General features: G+C 38.0%; 1 protein-coding gene across 5 annotated transcripts in view; it reads right to left on the bottom strand.

The window, feature by feature from the left end:
• Positions 1 to 21300, bottom strand: part of TTC27 (tetratricopeptide repeat domain 27) — a 193002-nt gene that overhangs the window by 130230 nt on the left and 41472 nt on the right. For all 5 annotated transcript variants that reach the window (NM_017735.5, XM_011532958.3, XM_005264416.3 and 2 more), the window contains exons 8-9: positions 18438 to 18550; positions 11900 to 11966 (exon numbers count right to left, since the gene is read on the bottom strand). In NM_017735.5, the coding sequence (NP_060205.3) occupies positions 11900 to 11966; positions 18438 to 18550 (180 nt within the window). The remainder of the gene's footprint in view (positions 1 to 11899; positions 11967 to 18437; positions 18551 to 21300) is intronic.

Raw genomic sequence — 21300 nt, 5'->3', positions numbered from 1 at the left:
TGAAATCAGTACCAAATGACAGTAAGTTTAAAATTCCAAGTTTAATCTATAAATAATTCCCAGTAGAAGTGGAAGAGCAGTCCAAATCCCCTATCCTTGCTAGGTAGGTCATTTAAAAACTTTTTCAAATCTACTTTTCCCTAAGTCTCACTATTACCCTCAACAAAAGGACCCAAATACAACTTACATTCTCCCGTCTCCTTGCCTTTGCTTATGCTATATCACTCCATCTAAACCCTATCTGTTGTTCAAGTTCCAACTCAAGTCCTCCCTTAGTGAACAAAGCCTTCTTTGACTGCTCAGTCCTAAATATTGTCTTCCTTTCTTAGCAACTAGAGGATATCTTTATCTGTGCTATCCATTTGTAGTTTAAAGGGCCTAGTATTGCTAAGTACAGTTTCATAAATTTCTCTGACCTGGGCTAAATTAAAAATTCCATGAAGGCAAGTCCCATGCTTTATGCCTTTATTTTTTCCACAACATCTAGTAGCATGCTTGGCAAATTTTGAGACTCTGGATCTTCTGCCATTAAGCTTTTAAAACTTTCTCTGCTATGCAAATTTTCATATAGGCAGCAAAGACACCAGTGATCAATCTGTTGGTCACTTGGCTTCTTCAAAAAAGAAAAACCTCTGCATTCAGGAGATTTTAAGCAAAATGTTCTATAACAAAACCATGTTTTTTTCTTCATCATTGTTAAAGCAAGCAATGTTACTTGAGGACCTGTTGTACACTGTCTTGATTCAAGTCAGTTTCCAAAAACCTACTCATGATGACCTTAAGCAAGGGCTTACTGTATATCCTTCACCCAGTTCCCCAAATGTTAATATTTTGCCACATGACCAATAGTTTACCTTCCATACCAGATATAGATTCTACTTAAAATAGTATTTACAGACTTAAAATAAATTCTACTAATTACCTATTTTTATATTGATTAACACAAGTTGCTAGAAATCATATATTAATACTTCACTTTATTTCAATTACCTATGCTATTCTATATACAAGTCTCATGTGCTAAGAAATGTTAAGATTTTACATTCATCCTAGCTATCTTTCTATTTGTTATTTCTGTTGACTCTCAATCACAAAAGGGGAAAAATTTCAATTCAACAAATATTTTTTCAATATCAATAATCTGTGTTAAATGCAAAGGGTCAAAAGTACCCCCAACTTGAGCTCTAAACAGTATATTCCCCCCATTAACTTTGGGATTTCTTTTACATGCAGGTTTCCAAAAATATATGGGGAAAACTAGCTTGATTTTGCTTCAGAAAAGCAGTAAACTTCATAACGAATGTGAACACTAAGCAATTTCCTATTGGGAATTTGTTCTACATTTTTTCCACTTAATAATTAGGTAAATTGAATAGTTTGTGTTGTACTTCTGAAACTGGTGGCATAGAATAATCAATATTGAAACCCAAGTCTATATTGATAATCTTAAAATAGTATAGCTCTAAATAAATCTGGTCATGTGAATTCTTCCCTTTAGTGAAGTATATGACAGATGAATAAAACCCATATTCAGTATTGTGACCTGTTTTGACAAATGCATACACCTATATAACCACTATTAAATCAAATTATAGAAATTGTTCATCATCCTAAAATATTCCCTTGCAACATTTTGTAATCAATCTGTGATCTACTTTCTGTCATTACAATGTAGTTTTGCTGTTCTAGAATTTCCATTAAATGGAATCATACAGCCTGGCTTCTTTAACTCACAATAATGTGTCTGAGATTCATCCATGCTGTTGCATTTATCAGTGTTTCATAACTTTTTATTGTTGAGTATTATTTCATGAGAGGGATACATGGCAGTTTATCACTCATTTGTTTTGATGGACATTTGGGTTGTTTCCAGTTTTAAGCTATTATGCATAAAACAGCCACAAGTATTTGTGTACAACTCTTTGTGAGGACATATACTTTCATTTCTCATGGCTAAATACCTGGAGAAGCAATTGATGATTAATTTTATAAGAAAATGCCAACCTGTGTTCCAAAGCAGTTGTGACATTTTGCATTACCACCAGCATTGTATGAGAGTTCTAACTACCCCACAAAGTGTTATGTAAGTCTTTTCAGTAATGTACAGTGGTATCTTGTTGTGGTTTTAATTTGCATTTCTCTGATGACTAATGTTATTACACATCTTTCAAGCTCCTTTTGGCCATGCATATATCTTTGTTCAAGTGTCTGTTCAAATATTTTATCCATATTTAATTGGTTGGTTTCTACTATTGAGTTGAAAGGGGTCTTTATGCTAAGTAAAAGTCTTTTGTGAGATACATGCCGTGTAAATATTTTCTCCTAGTCTATGGCTGGTGTTTTCATTTTCTTAATGTTGTCTTCAAAAAGCAGAAGGTTTTAATGTTAATAAAGTCCAATTTATCACTCTTTTTCTTTTATGGTTCATGCGCTTAGTGTCCTAGCTAAAATTTCTTCACTACCCAATGTTATAACAATTTTACTTGAAGAAAACATAGGAGGAAAATTTTGTAACATTGAGATCAATGATTTAACTTCATGAATGACCTTCACATATAAATTTCTTCTCTGTTTTGTTCTGTGGTCCATGGATAAAATATGCAGTTTAATTGTTTGGTTTACAAACATCTGGAGTTTTTCTACATACGCAGTAGTTATTTATGTCATTTAATTCAATTACAGAAAAAGCTAAGTACTATATGTAATCTATGGAAAAAACTATGTACTATATGTAATCAATTTCTTAATTTATTCATTTATTCTTCATTTATGCAGATTTGTTTTATGTCCCAGTATATGGTCTTGCTGCACTTACCATAAGCATTTGAAAACACCATGTATTCCAAGTGTATTCCATAAACATCAATTCAGTCAAAATGGCTGATGTTGCCATTTATCTATGTATTTACTTGCTGTTTGCCAAGTTGTTCTAACAATTGCTGACAGAGGGGTGTTAAAATATTCAACTATGATTGTGACATTGTCTGTTTTTCAATTTAGTTCTATCCATTTTTGTTTCATGTACTGTGGAGCCATTATTAGATACATACACATTTATAATTACTATGTCTTCCTGATAAATATTCCCTTTATTATTATAAAGTTGTCCTCTCTGTCTCTGGAAATATTCTTTGTAATGAAGCCCATTTTACTTTATAATAATTTAGCAAATCTAGCCTTGTTATACTTACTGTTTTCATGGGATAATATTTTCCATTCATTTATTATCAACCCATCTGAGTCTTTACATTCAAAGTACATCTCTTCTAGGAAGCATATAGTTGTCTCTCGCTTTTTAATTCCATTATCAATCTTTGACTTTTATTTGGAGTATTTATCCATTAGCATTCAATATAATTATTCATAAGGCTTGGTTTAAATATACCATTTTACCCTTTTTTGTTGTTGTTCCATTATGCTGCTTTTCCTGCCTTCTTTTTAGATAATCTGAATATATTTTAGGTTGCCACCTTGACTTCTTACTGGATTTTTAGCCAGATGCCTTTGCATTTTTAAGTGGTTGCTCTAGAATAATAATATCTTTAATTTTTCACAACCTACAATAGTGGAAAATTAATAGAGTAATCCTTCACATAAAATGTAGAAACTTTGCAACCACATAGGATCACTTGTTCACCCTTGAATGCCTTCTAAATATGTTAGAAAATACCAAGAAATGGCCAGGTGCAGTGGCTCATGCCTGTAATCTCAGACTTTGGGAGGCTGAGGTAGGCGGATCACCTGAGGTCAGGAGTTCGAAACTAGCCTGGCCAACACAGTGAAACCCCATCTCTACTAAAAATACGAAAACTAGCTGGGTGTAGTGGTGCATGCCTGTAATCCCAGGTACTCGGGAGGCTGAGGCACAGGAATTGCTTGAACCCAGGAGGTAGAGGTTGCAGTGAGCCAAGATTGTGCCATTGCACTCCAGCCTGGGTGACAGAGTGAGACTCCATCTCACACACACACAAAAGAAACCTAAAAATAAAATCACCCAATGTATTCCCTTCTTCCAAGCAAAAAAGTCATCTCCAGAATCTTTCTGCCTTTGATCATTCCCCAGTATCACCAGGTAGTTGGATTTTTTGTTTTCGCACCTTGCCCACAGTTGATAATTTTTTTCTGCAGAAGGGTAGTTCCAATCAGAACCACTACAGAAGCAGCCGGGCGTGGTGGCTCATGCCTGTAACTCCAGCACTTTGGGAGGCTGAGGCGGGCGGATCACTTGAGCCTGGGAGTTCGAGACCACCCTGAGCAATATGGTAAAACTCTGTCTCTACCCAAACACAAAAAAATCAGCTAGGCGTGGTGGTTCACGCCTGTAGTCCCAGCTACTCAGAAGGCTGAGGCAGGACAAATGCTTGAGCCCAGGAGACAGACGTAAGCTAAGATCGTGCCTTTGCGCTCCAGCCTGGGTAACAGAGTAAGACTACGTCTCAGAAAAAAAGAAACCACTACAGAAGCAGAAGTCCTCCAAATGATTTTAGAATCAGCATGTCAATTTCTGCAAATAAAAAAAAAATGCCTATGGGGATTCTGATTGCTACGGATTTAATTTGAAGCTCAATTTTACAAGAATTGTGAATTCAACATACTGAGCCTTCCGATCCACAGATATGGTAAATCCATTTATTTAGATAATCTTTAATTTCTCTCAACAGTCTTCGTCATTTTCAGCATAGAGGTCTTGCATTTTAGTTGTAATTATTTGTAAATATTTGATTTATTTAAGGCTATTGCAAATGATTTTAAAATTCTTTTCCCAAGTATTGCTAGCAAATATAATTGACTTTTTTATATTGACCTTGTATTCTAAGAACTTGCTTGTTAGTTCTAGTAGCTTTCATGTTCATTCTTAAGAGTTTTTCTATGACATAAACATGTCACCTCTGCATAAAGGTAGTTTATATCCTAATTTCCAATCTATATACCTTTTATTTCTTCATATCTTCTTCTTATCTATTGCACTACTAGGATTCTAGTTCAACTAGAAGACAAGTGAAGAAAGCAGACAATCTTCCCTTTTTTCTGAGCTTAAGGGGGAAAGACTACTTTTCACCAATAATGATTTTAGCTAGATGCACTTAATCAGGTTGATATTCTCTTCTATTCCTAGTTTACTAAGAGTTTTTATAATGAAAGGTGTTGAATTTTGTCAAAGGCTTTTTTGTTTCTATTAAGATAATCATTTGGTTTTTCTCCTTTGCTCTATTAATAAGGTGAACTGCATTGTTTCATATTAAACCAATTTTGTATTCCTGGGATAAACACTATTTGGTCATGATATATTATCCTTTTTATACATTACTGTTTCATATATTTTATCCAATTTTATAGTTGTTGACAATGGAAATTAAAGTCCAGTAACAGTGGGCCAGAAGGGAAATTCTAATAAGCATTAACCTCAAGACATGGTTAACTGTAGAAGACAAAAAAAAAGCGGTCAGTCCCCAGGTCATTTCTAATTTGCAAGATAACTTAACGAACAGGCAGGCTGGGCGCAGTGGCTCATGCCTGCAATCCCAGCACTTCGGGAGGCCAAGAAGTGCAGATCACCTGAGGTCAGGAGTTCAAGAACAGCCTGGCCAACATGGTGAAACCCCATCTGTACTAAAAACACAAAAATTAGCTGGGCATGGTGGTGCGTGCCTGTAATCCCAGCTACTCAGGAGGCTGAGGCAGGAGAATCACTTGAACCGGGAGGCAGGGGTTGCAGCGAGCCAAGATTGCGCCATTGCACTCCACCCTGGGGGACAGAGCAAGACTCCATCTAATAATAAAATTAAAAAAAAAAAAAAAAAAAAAAGGAAAAGGCAAAGCAGAGCAATTAGTTTCAACGAGAAGGTGAAGGTATTTGCAGTTGTTGTTTCCTCTTATTTAATGTCTTTTTTTTTTTTTTGGTTGCTGTCAAGACATTCTGTTTATGTTTTCTTTTCACCAGGCTGACTATGACATGTGTAAGTACAGTTTTGTTCGTTTTATTTTGCTTAAGTCTCACTGTGCTTGTTCCTCTATACTGTGAGGTAATTCTGAAGTAATCAACTCTAGTAATAAAACTATCAAAAGTACAAGCACTAATAGTTATATTGCCTATCTTAATAAATTACAATTAAGAAATGAGTAATTCCCTAGAAGAAAAATGGGTAATCATTTTCATCTATAAAACGGATTAGCAAACTATGTTATGATCATAGATAAGTATTTATTAAATAGCTTTAAAGTCAATAGCAGAAAAAGAAAATACATAAAATATAATGTGTAACTTCCAAAGATCTTTTTCCTTCTTTCATTTACAGAGACCTAGGGGCTTCAGGCAGAGTCAAAAGGCAAGCTGCCAGTATCAATTCACACTCACTTAAACAAACTTTTTTTTTTTTGAAACTTGTTTTTTTAAATTTATTATTATTATACTTTAAGTTTTAGACACATGCACACGTATGTTTATTGCGGCATTATTCACAATAGCAAAGACTTGGAACCAACCCAAATGTCCAACAATGATAGACTGGATTAAGAAAATGTGGCACATATACACCATGGCATACTATGCAGCCATAAAAAATGATGAGTTCATGTCCTTTGTAGGGACATGGATGAAATTGGAAATCATCATTCTCAGTAAACTATCGCAAGAACAAAAAACCAAACAAACTTTTTTCCCCCCGAGTCAGAGTCTCACTCTGTCGTGCAGCCTGGGGTGCAGTGGCGTGACCTCAACTCACTGCAACTTCCGCCTCCCGGGTTCAAGCAATTATCCTGCATCAGCCTCCTGAGTAGCTGGGATTATAGGCGAGCACCACCACGCCCAGCTAATTTTTGTATTTTTTTTTAGCAGAGACAGGGTTTCACCATGTTGGCCAGGCGGGTCACAAACTACTGACCTTGTGATCTGCCCACCTTGGCCTCCCAAAGTGCTGGGATTACAGGCATGAGCTACCCCACCCAGCCTAAACAAACTTTTGCCAAGGAAAACTGAAAAACCTGTATGAATTAACTAAACTGTTCCCATTTTCAACAATAAAAGGAAATTAAAAACATTACTAAATGTCATGACGTGGCTCATCTGAAGGGAAATAATGTAGATAACACAGCTAATTTTAAGTTATCAAGCTGATACAACATAAATGGCTCTCTAAAACAATATGGGTTATTTTTACTCTGACTCAGCTTTCCTGCAACATGCAGATATAATATCTCAGAAATAGCATCACATAACAGCAACCTTAAACAAGTAAAGCTATTCCTCTTAGGACAAGTTTCTGACTTTGCTAAATTAAAACATTTTCCCAGCATATTTCATATATATTTCAACCTGCTGCACCAAAATGAAAACACTGGCAAAAATTTCTCCAAAAAAGAGATTTCACCATCATTCTAGTAAACTTTGGGACAGTTAATCAAAACGGAACAAAATTCAGGACCAAGAGCCATTCATTTATTTATTCAATAAATATTTACCAAACACCAAATAACCACTGTCCCTGTCTCTCCAAGTGCTTACAGACTTCTGGTAGGAGTATTAAGACTTCTATTGGCCGGGCGCGGTGGCTCACCCCTGTAAATCCAGCACTTTGGGAGGCTGGGTGGGTGCATCACCTGAGGTCAGGAGTTCGAGACTAGCCTGGCCAACATAGTGAAACCCCATCTCTACTAAAAATACAAAAATTGGCCTGGTGCAGTGGCTCATGCCTGTAATCCCAGCACTTTGGGAGGCCGAGGCAGGTAGATCACGAGGTCAGGAGATCGAGACCATCCTAGCTAACACAGTGAAACCCCATCTTTACTGAAAAACACAAAAAAATTAGCCAGGTGTGGTGGTGGGCACCTGTAGTCCCAGCTACTCAGGAGGCTGAGGCAGGAGAATGGCATGAACCCGGGAGGCGGAGCTTGCAGTGAGCCGAGATCGCGCCACTGCACTTCAGTCTGGGGTGACACAGCAAGACTCTGTCTCAAAAAAAAAAAAAAAAAAAAAAACAACAATAAAAATTATCCGGGTGTGGTGGCCCATGCCTGTAGTCCCAGCTACTCGGGAAGCTGAGGCAGGAGAATCGCTTGAACCCAGGAGGTGGAGGCTGCAATGAGTTGAGATCGCGCCATTGCATTCCAGCCTGGGCGACAAGAGCAAAACTCCATTTCAAAAAAAAAAAAAAAAAGACTTCTATTATATTTGCTCTTCTATCAACAGAGGAAGACATCTTGTAGCCTCAATAGTTCACAACCCTAGTCCCAGGCCACCAAGCTGCTGCTAGAGCAGGGAAATGGATGCGCAGCAAGAAAAACCCATGCTGTTTCTTTCCTCTCTGTTCCCTTCTCTTCCACATCTATGGCCAATTCCAAGCAGATCTTATCCATTTAGCCTGCTTGAAAATAAGAATGCTTTACTACAAACTAGCATCACTGAATGCTATGAGTGTACCAGCCTCCACCTACTCTGGAGTACTTTCATAGATGTTCTGCAATATGATCCTCAAGTAAAGTCTTCTGTGTTGGGATAGGGGCATTTTCTCTTTCCCCCATTTTACGGAAGAGAAAGATGAAACAGATGGTTATTCCTAGTATCATGCAGTACTACCTAAATTATGGAACCAAGTAAGTGACACAGCTCTTGAATAGACATCAACCCTATTCCAGGGTGTAGGATATATATTTCATTCATTTTCTTATTCTGCATGCATTTATTCACAACAACTATGAGTAAAGCATTGAAGCACTGTCACAACCCTTGTAGAGAGCCTAGAAAAGAACAGAGCCCAGTCTCTAAAACTGAGTTTATAGTCTTGTAAGGAAAAGACATACACACACACACACACACACACACACACACACACACACACACACACATATATATACATATATATAAATAATTATAATATAAGCCAAAATATGAACCTTGCAAAAAGAGAGGCACAAATAAAAGTTCAAGAGCTCAGAAGAAGTGGGGTAGCACCTAGAAGTAGTCCCTCTTGTCTCAGATACAAATGCTCCTCAACATATGATGGAGTTACATCCTGATAAATCCATCATGAGTTGTAAATGTCCTAAGTCAAAATGCATTTAATAACACCTGTCCTACCAAACATCATAGCTTAACTTAGCCTGCCTTAAATACGTTAGCCTACAGTTGGGAAACATCATCTAACACTGAGCCTATTTTATAAAAAAAAAAAAAAAAGCTGAATATCTCATATAATTTACTGAATACTGTACAGAAAGTGAAAAACAGAATGGTCGTATAGGTATTCAAAGTATGGTTTCTACTTGAATATCATTTGCACACCATTGCAAATTCAAAAAATCGCCAAACTTTCATAAGTTGGGGGCTGTTTGTACTCTTTTGGAGTTACATAGGATTTAAATAAAGTTTCTTTCTTCATTGAAACCAGGGACCACTTTTAATTCATCATCTTATCCACTTCGGTATCATGCACAAAGAAGGGACAGGAGGAAGAACTGATAGATGAAGAGCTGACAAGGGCTGACAAGTTTTTCTGGTTTATTTTGTATGTTTCATTTGAGATTAAAAAAATGTCGGGGAGACAGTGCAAAGCCCAAAGTATGTGTGGGGCTCTTAAAAGTCCTCCTCACATAGAAGTTTCTTGCCCTACTTCTCCAATTAAAGATTTACTCGGGATTAACTCATCTCTTTAGAAGAGTTAGGCCAAGCACTGTGAGTCATTGTAATCAAACAGCTTTCCTCCAAAAAGAGGTCGGTCTTCAGGATGGTTCTGATTGTAAGAGGGTGGGAGGAAAGCAGAAAAATCACACAGCATAAAGGCCTGAGCGGAGAAGCACAAAACCTGAATTTATGACCTTCACTGCAAGCTAGGAATGATGAGTTACCCACCATCAGAAGTTACTAATTACTTCACAGGTACCTCACAGTGCAAGGGAAGGAGAATAGGTTAAAGAAAGGAAAAGTTTTAAAGAAAGGGAACCCCCGCCACACACACAAGAAATGCTAAAAAATTAACTGTTTGAATGTAAAAAGAGTGTGCTAGTGTCTTCAGGATAACTGTGGTAATATATATGCTGCAATAAACTGCTTATGGACCAATCCCAAGAAACTGTTACTACTGGCCAGCAGAAACATTTCCTGTCATATGCCACATCGCTGTTTACTTCCATCATCAGAGAAAGCCAAGCATCCAGGTCACCATTCATCACCTAGACACTTGTCCCCATCCAGTCCCTACCCTGACTCAAGCTCACAGCCATTCCAGACCTTCCCTAGCCTTCCCCCATCCCTCATTTCACACAGATCTATGTTCAGTGTCACCCTCCCACTGAGACCTTCCCTGACCACCTTGTCTAAAACAGCTGCGCCCATCCCATTCTTAGTCTCTTAACCTGCTTTATATTTCTCCTCAGCACTTCTGTGAAATAGCTGGTTCTCTCTTTGTCTACTCTGTATTTGACATAAACTCCAGAACAAAAAAGGCTTTATTTACTGCTAAATCCCCAATGACTAGTACAATACCCGTATATATTATTTAGTAGATATATATTAGCTGAATGAATAAATGAAAAGTACATAATATGTTTTTTATATGCCCTTTAAAATTTGTTAACACTTCGTCAATTCCTTTATAGCACATATAATAAATAATGAGGAACATTTCCACAGTTACCTAAAACACACATAATATGATGATACACACCAAAGATTTCTGAGAATACTGAAGTGGGAAAATAAAACACACAACCAGAGGACTCAAACGACTTAACACCTAACCAGTTCAAACAGGGTATGTAGGAAATAGTAACGTGAAAAATTTATATTACAGTACAAAATAAGCTAGCTTTTTTTGTTTTGTTGTGTTTTGTTTTGTTTTGTGTTTGAGGCGGAGTCTTGCTCTCTGTCACCCAGGCTGAAGTGCAGTGTGGCTCACTGCAACCTCCGCCTTCCGGGTTGAGGTGGTTCTCCTTCTCAGCTTCTAGAGTAGCTGGGGTTACAGACATGTACCACCAAGCCCAGGTAATTTTTGTATTTTTGGTAGAGACAGGGTTTCATCATGTCGGCCAGGCTGGTCCGAACCCCTGATCTCAAGTGATCCACCTGCCTCGGCCTCTCAAAGTGCTGGGATTACAGGCATGAGCCACCTCGCCCAACCACAATCTAGCTTTTCTTTCTAGCCAGTAAAAGTATTTTATTTTGCCTTATCTGAAAAATAACAAAGGAAGAAAACAACAGAATTCTAAATGGATTCCCAACTAAGATAATGAAAATGCCTTTGAAAAAATGATATATCTTAAGCAACTTGTATTCATTAAAGAACATATGTATCTTCCTTTCTCCATAAAGCCAAAATATACTGACTGACCCCTTCGTCTGTGACTTTTCTCTTCTTAAAAGCCCTTCTTGATCTAAAATCCTCAAATATCTATTACTCCAGCTTTCCTTTTCACTGCTATTCTTCTCCAACTGTGATCTTTATCTATTAACTTTATTTCCTTACACCATATTCCCTCTGAATTCTCTGTAATGAGGGAACTGTCCAGAGAGTCCACTGAAACTGTCCTAGAAGTAACCAATGCACTCCTAATTGTCCAATCCAGTGGTCTCTTCTCTGTCCACATTTATCTCCGGACTGCTCTAGACTGTTGAACACTGATGAGCACACCATGCTCTTGACATCTTTTTAACCCATGGTCTCCTGGTCCTGCTCCTAGCTTTCTTTTTCACCATGACCATGTAGGCATAGCACTCAATTTAAGAGTTGCAGACTCTTAAATCAGCAGCAAGATACATGTGACTTAGAAACTACAGTGGTAAGATTTTTCTCCACCTTATTTCCTTAGGTGGCAGTGTTTCAACATAAACAATCCAAGGCAAGACCATACCAGAGGAAGTAATTTACCAGGAAAAAAATGAAATGGAAGAGAAAAAGACATTACTCACTGATGTAAATGCCAGAAGCTCCACTTCAGTTAATGTGTGCACTGGGTTATTCTTTTGAAAATTAGTGCTTTAAATTAAGAAAAAAAGGTAAATTAATTATAAGATGCATGTTGTAGCTAATGAAATATAATTTTTAAAAAGCAAAGTAAACTGCTATATTTTATATATTTGAAAGCAGATATTTAAATATTATGGGGGCCGGGCACAGTGGCTCACACCTGTGATCCCAACACTTTGGGAGGCCGAGGCGGGCAGATCACAAGGTCAGGAGATCAAGACCATCCTGGCTAACAAGGTGAAACCCTGTCTCTACTAAAAATACAAAAAATTAGCCTGCCGTGGTGGCAAGTACCTGTAGTCCCAGCTACTCGGGAGGCTGAGGCAGGAGAATGGCGTGAACCCGGGAGGCGGAGCTTGCAGTGAGCCGAGATCGCGACACTGCACTCCAGCCTGGGCAACAGAGCGAGACTCTGTTTCAAAAAAACAAAACAAAACAAAAAATTAAAAAATAAATAAATAAATAAATACTATGGCATTATATACAAATGTAGAGTTTGTCAAAGATATAAGGTATAAAGTATAAAGGTATAAAAATAAAATGCTGACAAATAAAATGCGATTGGTGTACTAAATGTCAACATAATTTATCTTTTTTTTTTTTTTTTTTTTGAGACAGGGCTCACTGTGTCACCCAGGCTGCAGTGCAGTGGCACACACTTGGCTCATTGCAACCTCCACCTCCTGAGTTCAAGGGATCCTCCCAGCTCAGCCTCCTGAGTAACTGGGACTACAGGCGTACGCCACCATTCCCAGCTAATTTTTCTATTTTTGTAGAAATGGAGTTTCACTGTGTTGTCCAGGCTGGTCTTGAACTCCTGGGCTCAAGTGATTGCCCACCGCAGATTCCCAATGTGTTTGGATTACAGGCATGGGCCACTGTGCAGCCAACATAATTTACCCTCCTAGGAAAAAAGAAATTCAATATGTGCCACTCAGCAAAGAAAATGAAAAGAATTATTATGACACCAAGTCTTATTTATTAAACTCATGCCAAAAAAATAAAAATGTTTTTATAACAGCTGTCAAGGAGGCAGAACAATGGGCATTCTTAGATCTTGCTGATCCAGGATCAATTACATTATTGGTAGGATCATTTTAGAAAACAATTTGGGCCGGGCACGGTGGCTCATGCCTGTAATCCCAGCACTTTGGGAGGCTGAGGCAGGCGAATGAATCATGAGGTCAAGAGATCGAGACCATCCTGGCCAACATGGTAAAACCACATCTCTACTAAAAATACAAAAAATTAACTGGGGGTGGTGGCGCACGCCTGTAGTCCCAGCTACTTGGGAGGCTGAGGCAGGAGGATTGCTTGAACTTGTGAGGCGGAGGTTGCAGTGAGCCAAGATTGCGCCATTGCACTCCAGCCTGAGTGACAGAGCAAGACTCCATCTCAAAAAAAAAGAAGAAAACAGTTTGGCACTATTCTTTGTGAACATTCACATATCCTCGACTCAGTACTTCCATCCTAGATAGAGAGACCAGAGGAATTCTTGAACAGATATATCAAGAATGAGATACATAAATATCCATAGCAATATTGTGTATAATAGGAAAAATCTGGAAACAATCCATGCCCAAAAGGAAAACGACAAATTGTTGTATATTCATCCAACAGAATGCTATACTGCAAAGTAAATTGCAGCTACATATAACAACATGCATCACAGGAATACAATAATGAGAGAAAACAAGCAAATCACAGAGGACTATATATTTATTATAAGATACCACTTTTATAAAGCTCAAAAACAAGCAAATTTAAGCAACTGACTTACAAGCATACAAAACATGAAATTAAAATTTTTTTTAAAAGGCAAGAAAATGACAAACATTAGATTCAGCATAACAGTTAACTTTTCACCAGAGTTCTTTTTATTATTAGACTATTCCAAATGGAATATTAAATATTCTTAATATATGAAACATTCCACATATAATAATAATATATATGGAATATATATAAGTGGATATATATATGGAATGTAATTCCAAATATTCCATATATTAATTTAACAAATTTTAAAGGGCATATAAATGTATATAAATATTTCATATATTAAGAATGAAAAGAGGCTAGGCGCAGTGGCTAATGCGTATAATGCCAGCACTTATGGAGGCCAAGGCAGGTGGATCACGAGGTTAGGAGTTCAAGACCAGCCTGGCCAAGATGGTGAAACCCCGTCTCTACTAAAACTACAAAAATTAGCTGGGCATGGTGCCAAGTGCCTATAATCCCAGCTACTCAGGAGACTGAGGCAGAGAACTGCTTGAACCCAGGACGCAGAGGTTGCAGTGAGCCAAGATCGTGCCACTGCACTCCAGCCTGGGCAACAGAGCAAGAATCCATCTCCAAAAAAAAAAAAAAACAGAATGAAAAGAAAACACTGTCTTATAAAATATAACATATCCCTATAATTTTCAATACTGTTTAAGGATTTTATAATGACCATAAATTGTTTATATAATAATTTTTAAATGAACCGATTTTTATTGTTGGAAAAGAAAAAAAATCAATGAAGGGAAGAGGAAAGAACTATGAAATGATTTTATTAAAAACACCTACAAGACAAACACACATGAATGCATACAAGCATTCATACCTCAGGTAGAATGAGGTATAAGAGAGGTGGGGCAAGTTCCAGCATTTGGTCGTCAGGTAAAAATCCAACTCAAGCAGGAGGCCAGTGAACAGCAAGAGTCTAGGGAAGGAGCCTGAAGCTATCCCCACTGTTGTACCAATCTACAATGTATAAGAATTCACCTTCTCAGGCTAGGCACAGTGGCTCACAGCTGTAATCCCAGCACTTTGGGAGGCTGAGGCGGGTAGATCACCTGAGATCAGGAGTTCGAGACCAGCTTGGCCAACATGGTGAAACCCTGTCTCTACTAAAAATACAAAAATTAGATGAGCATGGTGGTGGGCGCCTGTAATCCCAGCTACTCAGGAGGCTGAGGCAAGAAAATCGCTTGAACCTGGGAGTCGGAGGTTGCAGTGAGTCAAGATTGCACCATTGTACTCTAGCCTGGCCAACAAGAGTGAAACTCCGTCTCAAAAAAACAAAACAAAAAAAAAAGAATTCACCTTCTCTAAGTCTCCTTTCCAAACCAACCCAGCCTAACACAATGTCTAAGTCACCTCTTCATGGGGGTTAGCGACCACAGGGATCAGACAGAGATCAGCCAATATAAGAAAATCACTATTTAAAAACCCCACAGTAACTTAGTACATGCAAATCATAAATTCATTACTATTCTAACCACAGGTTTATAAACTGCATCAGATGCACTAAGATTCAGAAAATAAGCAAGTGGTTTCTACCAAACAATGAAGAGTTAAACTGCCGGTGAAATCAATTCTGTGCTTTTATCTGCTCTATATATTGAAATTCCACTGAGATCTTCCTTTGGGAAAAACAAGTATCCAGAAAAGATGAGCATTTTCTGGATTTTTAGTCCTCTCTTAAATGTAAAGTTTACCTCAATATAGCTATAGTTCAGCTGACATAATGCCTGGGAATACATTTATTTGGCATAGTTTAATTTCCTGATGAGATGACAATTATGAACTTGCCAAAATAACATTTTCTTAAGTAACATAAAGAAGAACTCAGAATTTGGGGTCAGTAAAACTTAGATTCACATCCTAATTGCCACTCTGTAATTCTGAAGAAGTCATTTAGCTATTTGAGCCTTGTTTTCCCACCTGAAGAATTGAGAAAAATAACAACGCTTGGTGTTGTTAGACTATTAATGAGGGTTAATGTGAAAGTACATGGTATAATGCCTACCACATACTATTGTTGATAAATGGTTGCTATTCATATTATTAACATACTAAATGTTGTTATGGATTGAACAAGTATTTTTTATGCAGTAAACATAAATTCTGTCACTGGAGGGCCAAGTGCGGTGGCTCACGCCTGTAATCCCAGCACTTTGGGAGGCCGAGGTGGGCGGATTACGAGGTCAGGAGATCAAGACCATCCTGGCTAACACAGTGAAACCCCATATCTACCAAATACATAAAACAAAATTAGCCAGCTGTGGTGGTGGGCGCCTGTAGTCCCAGCTACTCAGGAGGCTGACGCAGAAGAATGGCATGAACCCAGAAGGTGGAGCTTGCAGTGAGCCGAGATCGCGCCACTGCACTCCAGCCTGGGGTGACACAGCGAGACTCTGTCTCAAAAAAAAAAAAAAATTCTGTCACTGGAATAAATAATGTTACAGGAAAATTGCTTTGGCTTTAGAAACAGAACTCTGTATGTGTGATCCATTTTAAAATAAAAAGGAACTGTAGAACTGAATTCAACTTTTATATAAAAGAAAACTTACTATTGCATATATGAAGTAAAATGCTATAAGGTGAACACCAAAGGGTGAGTTCTACTGAATTAAAAGAATAAGATTTTGACTGGGCACGGTGGCTCACCCTCATAATCCCAGCACTTTGGGAGGCTGAGGCGGGCGGATCACCTGAGGTCAGGAGTTCAAGACCAGCCTGGTCAACATGGCAAAACCCCGTCTCTACTAAAAATACAAAAATTAGCCAGGTGTGGTGGCACATGCCTGTAATCCTAGCTACTTGGGAGGCTGAAGCAGGAGAATTGCTTGAACCTGGGAGGCGGAGGTTGCAGTGAGCCGAGATCGCGCCACTGCACTCCAGCCTGGGCGACAGTGCAAGACTCTGTCTCAAAAAAAAAAAAAAGAACAAGATTTTTTCAAATGTTCCCTTTCTTAAGTTGTCCATTACTAATTTAACTGGTATCAATATTATAGCTTTGTGAGGGATTCTATTTTGAATATTAATAAATCTCTTGATGACAAATGGGATATTCATTTAGTCTAAAATTACCTTTCAAAGAATTTGTATTTTTTTGAGACAGAGTTTCACTCTGTCACCCAGGTGGAGTGCAGTGGCGTGATCTCAGCTCACTGCAATCTCTCGGTTCAAGCGATTCTGTCTCAGGCTTCCAAGTAGCTGGGATTACAGGCGCCTGCCACCACACCCAGCTAATTTTTGTATTTTTAGTAGAGACAGGATTTCACCATGTTGGCCAGCCTGGTCTCAAACTCCTGACCTTGGGTGATCCATCCGCTTCGGCTTCCCAAAGTGCTGGCATTACAGGCATAAGACACCGCACCTGGTCAATAAAATGTTAATTACAAAATAAATGAATAACTTTGGAGAAGCCTAGCAAACACCACTTTAATCATGTGATTGAAGTTAACATCACCAGTAGTGGGGCAAACCCAAATCATATTCTACCTGCTAGGATGCAATGAGAATAACAAAACTTCATTTCTCTGACATCCCAGCTAAAAACGCATAAGGTGGCCGGGTGTGGTGGCTCATGCCTGTAATCCCAGCACTCTGGGAGGCCGAGGCGGGCGGATCAGCTGAGGTCAGGAGTTCGAGACCAGCCTGGAAAGCACGGCGAAACCCCATCTCTACTAAAAATACAAAAAAATTAGCCGGGCATGGTGGTGTGCGCCTGTAATCCCAGCTACTCAGGAGGCTGAGGCAAGAGAATCGCTTGAGCCCGTGGGGCGGAGGTTGCAATGAGCCAAGATTGTGCCATTGCACTCCAGCCTAGGCAACAATAGCAAAACTCCATCTTAGGAAAAAAAAAAAAATGCATAAGGTGAATCCAACTATTAAAAAAAAAAAATCAGACAAACTCAAATTGAAGGAAAGTCTAAAAGTAATGGACTTGTAAATTTCAAGTGTCAAGATCATGCAAGTCAAGCAAAAATGAGGAACTATTCCAGACTGACAAAGACTAAAGAGACAAGAAAACTAAATGTAATACATATATTCTAGACTGGATCTTTTCTAAAAGAGAGTATCTGAACAACTAGCAAAATTTGAATGGGGTCTGAGAATTAAATGATAGCAAAGTACCAACATTAATTTTCTGATTTTGATAGCTGTATTGTGACTATGTACAAAAATAACATTATTTGTTGGAAATATACACTAAATTATTCAGGAATGATACAGCATCATCTTGGAAACTTATTCTTAGAAGTTATATGTATTGTCCTGCCCTTAAACATTTTTCACAAATTTGAAATTATTTCTAATCAGAAAAAAAAGTTAAAACTATTTCCACCATAGATAAGGTTCCACAGTATTAAAAAATAATCCTATCCTTTGAAATGTAAATATCCTCAAATCTCAAAATAGTCATTCTCATTTGTCTTTAATATTTTATTAATAATCTATTCCTAGCTAAAGCTAACCAAAGAAATTGTGCTTATAAAGGAAACAGAAGAATAGATATATCAACTCATTGGAGATTTGTAATATCTAACCCTTTAATTGGTTCTCCAAGTATTTCCTCTGATCTTCATAAGCACTACAAAATTCCCTATTCATCCAGAACTCTTGGAACCTCCTTGAATAAAGATTCTCCACACATAAGAGAATCAATATGCAAAGTGTTCAAAGCAGCCAAGTCAGTCATTAACTCACCAGATTCCAAGAATAATAGCGATCTCTTCAGCACACAGATCCGGCATCTGGAACTGTTCACAATCTGCTAACTTTATGTCATTCAGAATGGTGTCATCATTGAGCTCAAGATTCTAGTAGAATACAAAAGAAAATACTTAGACCAAAAATTAAATTTTATTCATTCACCAGAATGGCATGTAATAGATTGCTAGAAAGGATAAAGTTAACTTACCTGTTTGACATATGGTCAATAGGCTATTTCTTGTGAAACACATATTTGGAAACAATTTACCTTCCAGAAATGAAAGATGTGCCATCTATACCTCAAGAATGCACTAACAATGACAATAATAGGGAATAACAGCTATCACTGATTGAGCCAAGTATGCAAAAGCCCCTCTGCAGATAATTTTATATACATTTTTCAAATTCTTCCTCACAACAATCATAGACAATAGGCATTTCTATCCTTATTTACTGATGAAAAAACAAAGAATCAGATACTTGAAGCTCATCCAAGATCACACTCAAAGTATGTGATAGCATCAGGATTCAAAACTGGATCTTTCTATTCTGCCTCTAAATTCTAATCAAAAACATCAACTTCCCAACTCTGTGTCTCAGCAATATAGTGTGATCAGTTGAGAAATTTCTCACAAATAGCTTGTTATCAATGATGGAAATGCCAAACTGTGACAAGCTCATTCTAAAATTTATATGGAAATGCAAATGATCGACAATAACCAAAACAATTTTTAAAAGAATAAAATATGAGGAAGTACTTGATTTCAAGAATTACTATAAAGCCCAGACAGTATAGTACTGGCATAAAGACAGACATATAAAGTGAATGGAATAGAATACAGTTCAAAATTTTAGACCCATGCATATATGATGGATTGATTTTCAATATAGCTACCTAGGTGTTTCAACAGGTAAAGCCTTTCAATAAATGAAATTAGAGAACTTTGGGAGGCCAAGGTGGGAGGAAGCTTGAGGCCAGGAGTTTGAGATCAGCCTGAGTAACACAGCAAGACCCTGTCTCTCCAAAAAATAAGTAAGTGAATGAATGATGTCAGAACAACTGGATATCCATTTGGAAAAAAAAATGACCCTTCACGTTTATCTCAATCATACACAAAAATTAAATCAAAATTAATCACAGACCTTAATATACAAGCTAAAGCTAAAAAAACTTCTAGAAGAAAACATTAAAAAAAACTTTGTAACCCTGAGATGGAAAGGCAGTCAGTCCTTAATTAGGATACAAAAAGTATGAATTATAAGAGAAAAACTTCATAAATTAGACTTCATCAAATTAAAAACTTCTGTTCTCTGAAAACATTGTTAAGACAAAAAGTCAAGCTCCAGATCCAAATATACTGACAAAACATATATCTGAAAAGGGACTTGCATCCAGAATATGGAGAACTCTTAGAACTCAATAAGAAGACAAACAACTCAAATTAAAAATGGGCAAGAGAGGCCAGGCATGGTGGCTCACGCCTGTAATACCAGCACTTTAGGAGGCCAAGGTGGGTGGATCACTTGAGGTCAGGAGTTCGAGACCAGCCTGGCAAACATGGCAAAAACCCCGTCTCTACCAAAAATACAAAAATTAGCCAGGCATGGTGGCGTATACCTGTACTCCCAGCTACTCGGGAGGCTGAGGCAGGAGAATCACTTGAACCCGGGAGGTGGAGGTTGCAGTAAGCTGAGATCATGCCACTGCACTCCAGCCTGGGCAATAGAGCGAGATTCCATTTCAAAAATAAAAAAAGAAGAGAAAAAAAAAAACTTACGTTCACACAAAGACTTACATACATATTTTCTAGGCAGGTTTATTAGTAATACCTGCTAGAAATAACTTAAATGTCCACCAACAGTTCATATTGGTATTTCAACATGGATGAATCTTGAAACCATTAAGCCAGACCAAAAGATTATACACTGTATGATTCCATTTATTGGAAATTCTAGAAAAGACAGATCTAATCTATGACAGCAACTGACTGACTGCAAAGAACTATGGCGGCACTCTTTGGAGAAACTTTTTTTCATTGTGGTGGTGGTGACACGCGTCTAATTGTTAAATCTCAACAAAGTGTAATTTAAAATCGGTATATTTTATATAAATTATTCCTCAATAATCTTGGGTTAAATTTTTTTCTAATTCAACAACAACAAAAAAAGAGGACTTTAGGAGCCAAATGAAGCTAGACAGAAGCCAGGTGCGGTGGCTCATGCCTGTAATCCCAGCACTTTGAGAGGCTGAGGCGGGCGGATCACCCGACGTCAGAAGTTCGAGACCAGCCTGGCCAGCATGGTGAAGCCTCGTCTCTACTAAAAATACAACAACTATCCGGGCGTGGTGGCATGTGGCTGTAGTCTCAGCTACTCGGAGGCTAAGGCAGGCTACAGAATGAGACACCATCTCAAAAAAAATAAAAAATAAAAAAATTAAAATACATATTTTCACATTGTAACATTTCTTTCTTTTCTTTTTTTTTTTTTTTTTTGAGAAAGTCTCACTTAGTCACCTAGGCTGGAGTGCAGTAGCATGATCTCGGCTCACTGCAACCTCCACCTCCTGGGTTCAGGCGATTCTCCTGCCTCAGCCTCCCAAGTAGCTGGAATTACAGGCACACACCACCACGCCCGGATAATCTTTTCTATTTTTAGCAGAGATGGGGTTTCGGCATGTTGGCCAGGTTGGTCTCGAACTCCTGACCTCAAGTGATCCTCCCACCTCGGCCTCCCAAAGTGCTGGGACTACAGGCGTGAGCCACCACACCGGGCCATGTTGTAACATTTCCAATCAGGATATGTTTTGTAATCACTATAAATGGTATAGTAGTGTTCCTTTCCTTTTCCTGAAAAA

Source organism: Homo sapiens, chromosome 2 (assembly GCF_000001405.40).
Source record: "Homo sapiens chromosome 2, GRCh38.p14 Primary Assembly".
In the NCBI taxonomy this organism is placed as follows: domain Eukaryota; kingdom Metazoa; phylum Chordata; class Mammalia; order Primates; family Hominidae; genus Homo; species Homo sapiens.
This window is presented reverse-complemented; position numbering and strand designations above follow the sequence as displayed.